The sequence below is a fragment of the Homo sapiens genome, chromosome 2, assembly GCF_000001405.40.
Source record: "Homo sapiens chromosome 2, GRCh38.p14 Primary Assembly".
Classification (NCBI taxonomy): domain Eukaryota; kingdom Metazoa; phylum Chordata; class Mammalia; order Primates; family Hominidae; genus Homo; species Homo sapiens.
Genome location: NC_000002.12, coordinates 36,901,076 through 36,914,629, shown reverse-complemented (window position 1 = coordinate 36,914,629; position 13,554 = coordinate 36,901,076). Strand labels below are relative to the sequence as shown.

Genomic DNA, 13,554 nt, shown 5'->3' with positions numbered 1-13,554 from the left:
CAGTGTAGTAGTGTATTAATGCATTTCCTCAGCTGAATATTAAATGCTTGAGATCTAGAGCAATGCCAGTTGATCAGTGCTGTGTTTTTTTCCTTTGTTTTTTAATATTCTGTCTTTTACTTGAGTGTCTGTTCTTGTGACCTGAGATGTGCTTAAATTTCAAAATAAATTTTTAAAAAATCTAGGCTATTTGTTAAAAACTGTTCTAAAACTATATTAACTGACTCAAAGGAGTGATTTTAATTAGTGTTGTATTTAAAAGTTTTCATAAGTTTTGGATATCAATTTAGGAGAATAGAAGCCTAGATGCAATATATTTTTTAAATGTTTGTAAGTAAACATGGCTGGCTGCAGTGGCTAATGCCTGTAATCCCACTTTGGGAGGCCAAGGTGGGAGGATTGCTTAAGGCTAGGAGTTTGAGACCAGTCTGGGCAATGTAGCAAGACCCTGTCTCTGCCAAAAAATTAAAAAATTAGCTGGGGATGGTGGCACATGTCTGTAGTCCTAGCTACTGGGGAGGCTGAGGTGAAAGGATCACTTGGGCTCAGGAGTTTGAGGTTAGGTTATAGTGTGCTAAGATAGTGCCACTGCACTCTAGCCTGAGTGACAGAGTGAGATCCTGTCTCTTAAAAAAAAAAATCATCAAGTTTATAAGTAAACAGCGCAGCTCAGTAGAAGGGGCTTGCGCTTTAAAAGCAGGTAGATGTAAGTTTGACTCTGCCCCAACATTTTAAATTTCCGTGATCCTACTTAATTTCTCTATGGTTACTCCATTCCTGATCTGTAAACTAGGAAATACTCTGGGAATACTTCCTAACTCAAATGTTTATTTTCTTAGTGTACAATACCTAGTTATTCTCAGTATGTAATAGTTAGTACCTAGTATCATTTCATGTATCTTTCCAACCATCCATTCATCTTATAAATATGATATATATAATGTTTTTCAGACCTAGTACCAAATCCAGTGAATAAGACAACAATGCCCTGTTGGATTTTTATAGGGAAGATAGACAGTTAAAGAAGTGATTACAATGACATATGACATGTATAATGGATAAATAATAAGTGCTATTGAGCGCAGTAGCACAAACCTAGTCAAGTGGTCAAGAAAGGCTTCTTGGAGGAAGTGATGTTTAATTTTGACATCTGAAGGACAAGTAGGAATTAACCAGGGCAAGTAAACTGACTATTTGTTGAATGGGAGGTGGGAGAAAGGCAGAGTATTAGCAGCAGAGCTTCTGAGGTAAGACTGGCACATTTGAGAAATGGGATACCTGGATAGTAGTGGGAGAGAGGGAAGGAATGTTTCCAGATGTAGATAGAGAGTTAGCTGGGGGGTAAAATAGTTACAAGGGCCTTGTGAAACATGTTAAGTAGTTCACGCTTAGGAATATAATAAGCATTTGAAGGATCTTAATTAGGGGTTTATGATGAGATTTACTCTTGGATTACGTGGGCTGTAGTGTGGAAGATGGATTAGAGAGGAGCAACGTTGGAGATGGGGCAACTGGTTAGAGGATTGTTGCAGAAACCTGGGCAAATGAGTAAGGTTTCCTTGACAAGGGTGTGTTCAGGAAATATTTAGGAAGTAAAATATGCAGGAACTAGTTCTTTTTATATATACATAAATTTGATTTTATGCTGATCTTCTCTGTATTATTCTAATTTTAGTATATGTGCTGCCAAGGCAAGCACAGGAACTACTTCTTGATTGGATGTAGGGGGTGAAAAAAGGATGAGTCAGAAGTGACTCCCACATTTGTAATTTAAACAACTAGACCAGAAGTAGATTTGGAAAATGGTGGGTTCACTTTTGGATTTATTTCTTAGGTAACCAAGTGAAGATGGCCAGTAGACAGTTGAGTATATGGGTCTTGAGCTTAAGCCAGAAGTATGGATGTGTTAGAGACATAAATTTGAGAGGCATCAACATATGGTACTGGTGGCACTCAAGGCCATTGGAGTTGAAACAGTCACCCAGGAGCTGTATGTGAGGTAAGATTACAAAAAATGGAGCCCTGAGGAATGACATTTAAAAGACTGGTAGAAGAACGGAAACGTGAAAAAGAGTCTGATACAGAGTACATTAACAGTAGGAGGAAAACCAGGAGACCAAGGAAACCAAGAGAAGAGAGGGCTTCCAGAAGGAAGGACTGTTCACCACTACTGGTTAATTCTCAGAGGGCTGAAGAATATCTGTAGGACTTTGTGACACATGGGACACTGAGAACTTAAGGAGAGAGGTGAGGGCAGAAATAAAGTGGGTATAGTTAGCTTTCAGGAAGCTTAGGTTGTGAAGGTGAAGGAGAGAGATTAGAGGGCAATAGCTGGAAGGACACATGGGGTCAAGGAAAGTGTGTGTGTGCGCGCGCGCACACTCTCACGCACACGTGTGATGTGTGTCTTAGAGGAGTAACCAATAAAAGGGAAAGAGTAGAGATACTCGAAATAGGAAGATAATCTGAAGAAGGTGGTAGGGACTGGATTCTGAGCATAGCTGGAGAATGGCAGGAGGAGCATGTCTTTTATCATTACCAGGAGAGAATGTAGGAAGTTAGGTTAACAGGTTTATAGATTTGGATTTCTGTTTGGTGGTGGGTATTTGAGGAAATGTCCACAAGTGATAGCTTTATATATGAGATAGGATTATCTGCTGAGAGTGGGTCAGATGTTTAAGAAAAGTAGAGAAGGTTTAAAATGCTAATGGTAAACAGGAAGACTAACTTTCTAGGGAATAGTAGGATCGAGAAAAGCTAAGGGTCCAGTTGAGGTGTGTGATCATGAGTGTATGTAGAGGCACTAGGCTGCACATTTGGTAGTCTGGGTAAAGTAAAAGAGAATGCAGATAGTTAATAGTTGAATTCACGGAGAGAAAAAGGGACAAAAAAATTTGACAAAGGAATGATTGAAGTGATAAGCCATGAACTAAAACTACAGAGGGAAGGAAGTGAAGACACAAGGAGGCTGGCTAATGGGTGAATTAAAAGTAAGGGGGTAGATTCTGGTCTAGAGCAGGTCAGCAAACTTTTTCTGTAAAGGGCCGGATAGTAAATATTTTGGGTTTTGCAGGCTGTTTGTTGCAGCTACTCAACTTTGCCACTGTCACATGCAAGCATTCATAGAAGGTACATAAATGAATGGATGTGTCTGTACTATAAAAACAGGTGATAGGCTGGATTTGACATGCAGGCAGTAGTGTGCTGGCCCCTGGCTAGAGGTCCCAGCTAAATTAAAGAACTAGCAAATTTAGGGAAAAAAGAAAGAAAAAAGAACTAATGAATTGGGAGTAATTGAGCCTGACTGGTCTGCTCAGACAATCAGTTTGCATCTATCATAGTTGTTCATGATGATAAGACCTAAGATATGACAGCTAGAGAGGGTGGTGGCTGTGGAGAGGCAGAAGTGGATCTCCTACATGCATATTGATTTCACTCAAGATGATGTAGAAGTTTGGTGGCAGAAACATGTGAGCCAGATTTGGAGGGTTATCTAGGGATTTATAGATGATGGTGATAAGTACTAGGAGGTGGCAGAAAGGGTATATTCAAATAGCATAACCATTAAAGAAGCAGGGATTTTTTTTTGCATTCTTTGTTCTTTTATCTATTTACCATATTTTCCTAAAACTGATAACCAGACATTTTCTGAAACATTTTTCACAAAAATTTGCTTTTCCTTTCTAATTTTTTTTTGTCCCACGTCCAGACCTTCATATTTCTACTGTAGGAGAGTATTATCTCAGGCTATGTTAAAATGTATTTATTTTTGATATTTCAGTCTCTCCTATTTAATATTAGAAGCCAGGTAGTTATTTAAAGTTGAATATATCCAGTGTGATAAATTCTGTCTTTTAATTGAGAAATTTAGACCATTTGCACTTATGATTATTGATATGGTTAGGTTAATGCTACTACCTTTGTAATTCATTTTGTTCAGTCTGTTCTTGTTTCTTTTCCTTCTTTTTCAGGCTTCTTTTGAATTATCAAATATTTTTTAGGATTCAATTTTATCTCTTTTGCTGACTTATTAGCAGTAATTCTTAGTAATTGCTTTAGGGCTTACAAGGCACATCTTTAACTTATTACAGTCTGTCTTCAAGTGATAATACACCACTTCATGGATAGTACAATAACCTTATAATAGTGTACTTCCGTTTCTCCTCTTCCCAGTCTTTGTGCTATTGTTGTCATGCATTTTACTTCTATGTATGTGATAAACCACACACTCCATTGTTATTTTTTTCCAGCAGTCTTTTGTCTTTTAAAGATATTTAAATACTAATATGAAAAAAAATTCCCAATACTCATTATTCCTTTGTGTAGATCTGTGTTTCCATATTATTTTCCTTCAACCTTAAAGTCTTCCGCTCACGTGTCTTGTAATATGGAATGCAAGTAATGAATTTTTGCAGCTTATGTATGTCTGAAAAAGTCTTTTTTTTTTTTTTTTTTTGAGACAAAGTCTCGCTCTTGTCCCCCAGGCTGGAGTGTGACGCCACGATCTCGGCTCACTGCAGCCTCCGCCTCCCAGGTTCAAGCGATTCTCCTGCCTCAGCCCCCTGAGTAGCTGGGATTACAGGCGCCTGCCACCACACCTGGATAATTTTTGTATTTTTAGTAGAAATGGGGTTTTACCATGTTGGCCAGGCTGGTCTAGAACTCCTGACCTCAGGTGATCTGCCCACCTTGGCCTCCCAAAGTGCTGGGATTACAGGCGTGAGCCACTGCGCCCGGCCTGAAAAAGTCTTTATTTTGCTCATAGGCATTATTTCTGATGAGATATCTCCTGTTGCCCTTATTTTTGTTCCTCTGTGTATAATGTGACCTTTTTCTCTGGCTGCTTTTAAGATTTTCTCTTTATCATTGGTTCTAAATGATTTTATTATGATATGCCCTGGTGTAGTTAGCCCTCTCTACATATTTCTTATGCTTGGGATTTATTGAGTTCCTTGGATCTATGGGTTTATAGTTTTCATGGAATTTGGCACTTTTCAGCCATTATTTCTTCAAATACTGTTTTTGTTCCTCCCTGTGCTATGATCTGGAAACTCTCTCTAGGTGGTGTCTGGGATAATCATGAGGCTTACCTGTTTGCTTTCCCCTTCTCTCAGTTATTACTGTCCTTTGTTGCATGGTGTCCAGTGTTTTGAAAACCATTGTTTATCGTCTGTTTTGTTTTATAGTTGGTTCAGCAGGACGGTAAATCTAGTGTCTGTTACCCTAATTTGACAGGAAATAGCAGTCAAATACTTTCGATATTACCGAGAAATTCAACTATTATCTATATTAAAATCCTCACTTTTATATAATGTCACTTTTTGAACTTGACAAGGCAAGAATGAATGTGATAGTTAATGACTGCTTACTAACCATGGAAAGAACTGCGAGCTTAGCCTGAGTAAGGAAATATAAGAGCTATTTGACTTTGGGTTTCTTTTTTTAACCTGAATTTTTTTTTTTTTTTTTTTTGAGATGAAGTCTCTAGCTCTGTTGCCCAGGCTGCAGTGCAGTGGTGCAATCTCGATTCACTGCAACCTTCGCCTCCTTGGTTCAAATGATTCTCCTGTCTCAGCCTCCCTAGTAGCTGGGATTACACGCATGCGCCACCTTGCCCAGCTATTTTTTTTTCTGGGGTGTTTGGGGGTGGGGATAGAGGCTTGCTCTGTCGCCCAGGCTGGAGTGTAGTGATGTGATCTTGGCTCACTGCAACCTCTGCCTCCCAGGTTCATGTGATTCTCCTGCCTCAGCCTCCTGAGTAGTTGGGATTACAGGCACGAGCCACCGCACCCAGCCTCCAACTAACTTTTGTATTTTTAGTAGAGATGAAGTTTCACCATATTGGCCAGGCTGGTCTCAAACTCCTGGGTTTGAGTGATCCGCCCACCACGGCCTCCCAAAGTGCTGGTATTACAGGCATGAGCCACTGCGGCCCAGCCATAACCTCAGATGTTACTTAGAGGGTCAGATTTTATCTCAGTGTAAGAATACACTTTTTTTTAAGAGGATAGGGTACATTCTTATTTGATTCTTATTAAGATATAATTTACATATCATAAAAGTCACCCTTTTTAGTGTTTTCACAAATCTCTCCCTCCGTACGCTAATCCCCTGGCAACCAGTAGTCTGTTTTCCATTTCTGTAGTTTTGCCTTTTCTAGAAAGTCATATGAATTCCAGAATCTTACAGATTGTAGCCTTTCGATTCTGGCTTATTCACTTAGAATAATGCATTTGAGATTTATGTATGTTTGTATCAGTAATTCATTCCTTGTTCTTCTTGAGTAGTATTCCATTGATTTGCTGTATCACACTTTTTTGTAATGTCACTGGCTGCCAAAATAGGCAGAAGTAGTTGAGTATATTTGAGGATGGCATAGAAAGGATTTAGCCCTATTCTGATGGGAGATTTAATGACCTCAGAACTTCATTTAACATCTGAAGTCTTGAAATGGCAATGTAAATGTTTTTACTTGGCAAGTACAGGTTATTCACTTGACTTAAGAAGGGGGTATATTGGAACATACTATGTTACCTGCACAGATCCTGAATTTGCGGTCAGTGGAAACAAGATGTATTTGTTTTCCCTTAGTTTGGGGGCAGCGTTTTTGCTCCCTTCTTTTTTTATTTTTTATTTTTTTTAATTTATTTTCTCTTTGAAGTTATCACAGAGTAATTAGCTTCTTTTTGGAGTTAATTTAATTCCCCTTATTTTCTACCTGCCTTTCCAGTCTGTTTCTTTGGTATATCACAGAACTAAGCCTAGTTATTTTAGAGTTCTTTTAGAAGAAAAACAAACTTGGAAGATTTAATGCTTATTTTTATTCATGTATTTCTCTAATTTCTTATTGTAGTGATAGCATGTGAAGGAAAATGCTGGGGCTCTGGAGTGAAACAGAAATTCAACACTTACAATTGTGTTTCTAACTAAAAAACCTGAAAATTGCCTTCCAAAACTCAAGCTTTCTTATCTTTAAAATGAGGCTAAGTACCTATCTTTGAGGTTGTAAGGAATAAAAGAGATAATGTATGTGTTTTTAACACAGTATGTAGTAAATACTTAATTTCTTTCTTTTTTTTTTTGAGACAGAGTCTTGCTCTGTCACCCACGCTGGAGTGCAGTGGCATCATCTCGGCTCACTGCAACCTCCGCCTCTCAGGTTCAAGCGATTCTTCTGCCTCAGCCTCCTGAGTAGCTGGGAAACAGGCATGTGCCACCACGCCTGGCTAAGGTTTTGTATTTTTAGTAGAGACAGGATTTCACCGCGTTAGCCAGGCTGGTGTCTGTCTCCTGACCTTGTGATCCGCCCACCTTGGCCTCCCAAAGTGCTGGGATTACAGGTGTGAGCCACTGTGCCTGTCCCGTAAATACTTAATTTCAAATGTCACCAAATAAATTTTTCCAGTCCCTATTGTATCTCCACTTGAATAAGATCCTATAAAGATCAGCAGTTTTTTAGAGTTTGATCAAGGGCTGAGGAAAGTATGCACTTTTTTTGTACTGTTAATGTAGAACCATAGTATAGCTTGGAGATTGTACAGTCCAGACTTACCATAGGGAAAGCTCTTTTTATTTTATCACCTTCTAAAAAGGATTCTGGTTTTACCTAGTGATGAATTTAAGCGTTAAAATGCTTAGGAGGTTTTCATTCAAAGAATGTCATTAAAAGAATACTTGAGGGTTTTTTTTTGTTTTTTTTGTTTTTTGAGATGGAGTCTTGCTCTGTCGCCCACGCTGGAGTGCAATGGCGCAATCATCTCGGCTCACTGCAACCTCCGCTTCTTGGGTTCAAGGGGTTGTCCTGCCTCAGCCTCCCGAGTAGTTGGGATTATAGGCACCCACCACCACTAATTTTTGTATTTTTAGTAGATATGGGGTTTTTTGCCATGTTGGTCAGGCTGGTCTCAAACTCCTGACCTCAAGTGATCCACCCGCTTCGGCCTCCCAAGGTGCTGGGATTACAGGTGTGAGCCACCACGCCTGGCCTACCTGAAGTTTTTAAATGTAATAGCTAATGAAGGAAACAGGTTTGGATTGAGGTTGTTATATATCTGCTCTTTACCAAATTGGCTCTTCTACCATCATTCCTCAGTATTTTGTTCTAGTTCTTTTTTTAAAAAAATTATTTATTTGTTACTCATTCATTCATTCATTCATTCATTCATTGTTTTGAGACAGAGCCTCCCTCTGTTGCCTAGGCTGGAGTACAGTGGCACGATCACAGCTCACTGCAGCCTCGTCTTCCCAGGCTAAGGTGATTCTCCCACCTAAGCCTCCCTAGTAGCTGGGACCACAGCTGCGTGCCACTATGCCCAGATAATTTTTTTTGTAGAGACAGGGTTTACTCCATGTTGCCCAGGCTGGTCTCAAACTCCTGGGTTCTAGAGATCCACCTGCCTTGGCCTCCCAAATTGCTGGGATTATAGGCGTGAGCCACCATGCCCAGTTATTATTTATTTTTAATTTTTAATTTCTGTGGGTACATGGTGTATATATTTATGGGGTACATGAGATGTTTTGATAGAGGCATGCAATGTGTACTAGTCACATCATGGAAAATGGGGTATCCATCCCCTGAAGCATTTATCCTTTGTGTTACAAATAATCCAGTTATACCCTTAGTTATTTTTAAATGTTCAATTATTGTTATTATTGGCTTGTTCTAGTTCTGATGTGCTACTTTATAATACTTTTATTTGGCTCTCATTGTGTGACTTGATGGGATAAGTCTTTGTTCTGGAGAAAAATTCTTAGTCTAGTTAAAGACAGGGAAAATGTATTTATTTTAGTTCTGCTACTCTTAGGGAAATCCAGTAGCAATAATTTATATTAGAGTTTTGTTATAGAAATTACAGTTAAAAAACAGAACTTACATTATCCTAACACATACCTTACAGTTGCAGTTTTACATATTCTTAATCTTATAAATGTTTATTGGACGTTATTAATGAATTAAGATGCCCTCTAATACGTAAAACAAGTCAGTTTTATTATGACTTAATGTTTTCTAGATGAAGGTAATGAAACAGAAGTGCAGCCACAACAAAACAGCCAGTTAATGTGGAAACAAGGTCGACAACTACTCAGACAGTAAGTGTCTCATGGTGAAACTTATAAATGGCTGAAGACAAGAAACAGTTTTATGAAGTTATTTTTACTGTGTATTTTCAAGTCAGATGAATATTTTATCTCATACAGATGCTGTGAAAAAGCTTAATTGAATTACTGTTCCTTTTTCATATTAAATACTTTTTCTGTGTGGTAGAACTTACGTAGTTAAAAGAATTTTATAACTTTAAAGTTATTCTTTTCATTGCATATTTTATGTATGAATATATAACATTTTAATATATGTGCAATTGGCCAGGCGCAGTAGCTCACACCTGTAATCCCAGCACTTTGGGAGGTCAAGGTGGATGGATCACTTGAAGTCAGGAGTTTGAGACCAGCCTCACCAACATGGTGAAACTCCATCTCTACTAAAAACACAAAATTAGCCGGGCGTGGTGGCACATGCCTGTAATCCCAGCTTCTTGGGAGGCTGAGGCAGGAGAATTGCTTGAACCCGGGAGGTGGAGTTTGCAGTGAGCCGAGATCGCGCCATTGCACTCCAGCCTGGGCAACAAGAGCGAAACTTCATCTCAAAAAAAAAAAAAAAAAGTGCAATTGGTGTTTACATGCAATTTTGTTATGTTTTAAAACTTTTAAATAATTGGAGAACTTTTTGAATTCTCCAAATTTGCAAATATTGCCTAACATATATTTCATTCATTCATTCATTCATTCATTCAGTCATTCATTTGAGATGGAGTCTCACTCTGTCGCTCAGGCTGGAGTCCAGTGGCACAATCTTGGCTTACAGCAACTGCTGCCTCCTGGGCTCAAGTGATTCTCTTGCGTCAGCCTCCCGGGTAGCTGGGACTACAGGTGTGTGCCTCTATGCCTGTCTCATTTTTTTGTATTTTTGTAGAGATGGGTTTTTGCCATGTTGGCCAGGCTGATCTCGAACTCCTGACTTCGAGTGATCTCCCCACCTCGGCCTCCCAAAGTGCTGGGATTACAGGTGTGAGCCACCATGCCCGGTCAACTTTCTTCCATAAAATATTAATATGTATTTGAGACAATAAAGAGTAAACAATGATGGGTTGAGGTTCTGATATCAAGAGGTAGACTAGACTCACCAGCTCAGTGCCTGGTTCTTGAATACCACCTTTGAAACTCATATTCAGATTTGTGCCTCAGTAAAATGAAATGTACTACCTGGTTTTTTGGAGGTTGATTATAAGTTGTTTAAACCCAAGGTTTCCAAAGTGGATGTATAGCAGCTATTACTTTTGACTACGGAAAGAGAATCTTAAAATGTCTTTGCATATGTATTTTTTGATCTAGATAGTTACAAGAAAATGAGATATTTTCTGATATTTAATAAGTAAATTTTTACTAATGCCCACACTTTGATCTTAAATATGATTTATACATCTTCCTTTTTAAAATAGATGTGTTCTTAGAATGTTAATCTTTTTTTAAACAAAAAATGATTTCATAATGAGCTATCCAAGAGATATTTTCAAAAACTTCAAAGGACCCATAATCAACTCTTCTGAGTAAAGGTGTCATTTTATCAATGAATGAGGAAGTAACTGTTGAGTAAAACCAGCTTTTCTATGGCAAGAGCAGTTTTGAAACAGGTATTTGTAATGTGATTTTGTTGCCAAAGTGAGGTATGTCTCAAATATTATTTGTTAAAAATGGAAAAATATAACATCTTTAAAGCCGTTTTCAAGAACTTTAAATTTAGGAAAGTTGGGAATTTATTATCCAAATTTTAATCGAGACCTTTCTATAAATATTGGATGGGATTGAAAAATGAGCATCTTGATTTGGTAAGATACACTTACTCCCTTTGATCACATATATTTCTGAGATAACTCTTTCAGCTATAATAACTAAGACCAAATCTTGTTAATAAACTGAACTTAAACTGGTTATCTCGTCAACCTTTGTTTTCTTCTTTCATCCAGTAGACTCGGTGCCTACTTATAAGTTAATGTCCGATGTTTGTCTGTCGTTTTTATTAATGGCATTTACCTTTTTCATGGTCTTCCCACTGCCACTTTTGGTCTGTTCTGGTCAACTTTGGTGTTAGTAGGTATTGAGTCCTTTCTATATGCCAGGTACAATATTAGGTGTGTCTGTTTTAAAGGATAGAAAACTGAGGTTCAGGAGAATTAAAGTTATGCAAGTAAGTGGCAGAAACAGGACCTAGATCTAGCTCTCAATACAAAGCCTTTGCTCTTTTTTTGTGTTGCTGCCTTTCAGTAACATACACACACATGTGTACACACACCCCCTACATTCTACAATTTAATTGCAGTCTATTTTTATTTTAAAGTTGTCTCAGGATAGGAGCTTCAATTCTGTAGAGTGACTCGAGAAATAACTACCTTGTGTGTAATGAAGGAGACGATATATGCTAGGAACATTCTGTCTAGATCACAAACAGTTGATCCATGACAAATTTAAAAAAACTACCGGAATAACTATTATAAAATACTGATTTGGTAGTCTAGCTCCAATCCAGCCTAAAGAAAAGAATGTGCTATTAGATATATTAAAGACCAGCTTCTTCTTATGGTAAATGTAATGAATGGTGTATTGTATAGTTCTCTCATTTTTCTCAGTGACTGTAGAGGCTGGTACTGCAAGAGACAGCTCCATCTGCAGCTGGAAGATTATTTATTAACAAGTCTTACTAGCATAGTACTGTACTGTTAAGTCTTATGCAGGCAATGAGTTTAAATAAATACTTTTATTTACATATTAAATTATAGAATACTGATTCCAGTATGACTGAACTCTAAGGATTCTCTTCACACAGGTATCTACAGGAGGTGGGTTATACAGATACTATTCTAGATGTGAAATCTAAACGAGTGCGAGCTTTGTTGGGCTTTTCAAGTGATGTCACGGACAGGGAAGATGACAAAAATCAGGACTCAGTTGTAAATGGCACAGAGGCTGAAGTTAAAGAGACAGCAATGATTGCGTAAGTATTTTGTCTGGAAAGTGTTTTAGCTATTATTAGTTCTTATTAAATATTTTTGGTTTTATGGACATTACTTGTACTTTTAGGTAGTGACATAGAAATAATTTATAACTTAATAAAAATTCTAACATTTTATTTGGTTAGAAGGTAACAAGGATTGGAGTTATTTATGACTATTTTAATTCAAGAATATTATTTGTGATATTTATTTAATACAGATATTTAATAGATTTTAGTATATTGACTTAATCAGTAAATAAAACTTCAGAAAAGATTTTATTTGGAAATTCAGTACAAATCTGTAAGAATGACGTTTCATGATTGGTGATCCAGAAGTCGTAAAAATACCTCAAATTCTGTAGAAGTAACACTGTTTTTTAACCACTTTTGTTTATCTATTAATGTTGTAATTTATCTTTGATATAAAATATCTATTTTAAGTAGCTATTTTGAAGTGACAGCGTAAGTGTGAACAATTCAGTAGCTATTTGAAATATTTTGTTTTCCATTTTGGATTATGTATCATACAATTACATATGATTCTACTTAAAATAATCATAAACAGTTCAATAAAGAGATTCTTATTTATTGGGAAAAAATTTCCGTGATTGTTAATTGAATAAAAAGCCAAAAATTCTGTGAATGTTTAAGTATGACTTTTATTTTGACACTTGTTTAGGAAGGAAGAATGGTTTTAATTGAACTCTATAAATTTTCTAGCAAGAAGATAGTTCCTGCTATTTGGAATATAAATTAAAATTATGGGATTAGGTAAAGGTTCACTGTAGGACTTTTATAAGCAAAGTTCCTTGGAGCCTTAAAATGTATTCATTAATAATTAAGAATACATTTCCAACTTTGTAGGCTGTATTAAAAACATACATTAACTTATATTTGTAAATGTAAGGCATGTTATTTCTCTATAGATATAGACTGTGTGGACATTATCTTTAGTTCTGTTTTTATGTTCTGGGTTTAATGTAAGTCATCAAGTTAACTTAGATAGTATAAATGTTTTTTTTTTTTTTTTTTGAGGCGGAGTCTCGCTCTGTCACCCAGGCTGGAGTGCAGTGGCGCCATCTCAGCTCACTGCAAACTCTGCCTCCTGGGTTCACGCCATTCTCCTGCCTCAGCCTCCCGAGTAGCTGAGACTACAGGCGCGTGCCACCGCACCCAGCTAATTTTTTGTATTTTTAGTAGAGATGCGGTTTCACCATGTTGGCCAGGATGGTCTCCATCTCTTGACCTCATGATCCACCCGCCTTGGCCTCCTGAAGTACTGGGATTACCGGCATGAGCCCCCACGCCTGGCCAATAGTATAAATGTTTTTAAGAACTATAATGCATACTTTAATAACCTTCAGTAAAGACTTTGAGGGAAGACCACTCTTGTGTGTTTTGGCCTTGATTTGTCTTTTAAGAATGACAAAGATACTGTTGCTAATCTGTCCGATTTCAGTAGGGATAAAGAGTTAGGGGAGGGTAATACCAAACACAAAGCTGTAAGT

At 37.5% G+C, this 13,554-nt stretch overlaps 1 protein-coding gene across 3 annotated transcripts in view; it reads left to right on the top strand.

Moving 5' to 3' along the window:
- STRN (striatin) overlaps positions 1-13,554 on the top strand; it is a 128,839-nt gene that overhangs the window by 51,907 nt on the left and 63,378 nt on the right. For all 3 annotated transcript variants that reach the window (XM_005264519.6, NM_003162.4, XM_011533073.3), the window contains exons 4-5: positions 9,012-9,090; positions 11,879-12,046. In XM_005264519.6, coding sequence (XP_005264576.1) covers positions 9,012-9,090; positions 11,879-12,046 — 247 coding nt within the window. The remainder of the gene's footprint in view (positions 1-9,011; positions 9,091-11,878; positions 12,047-13,554) is intronic.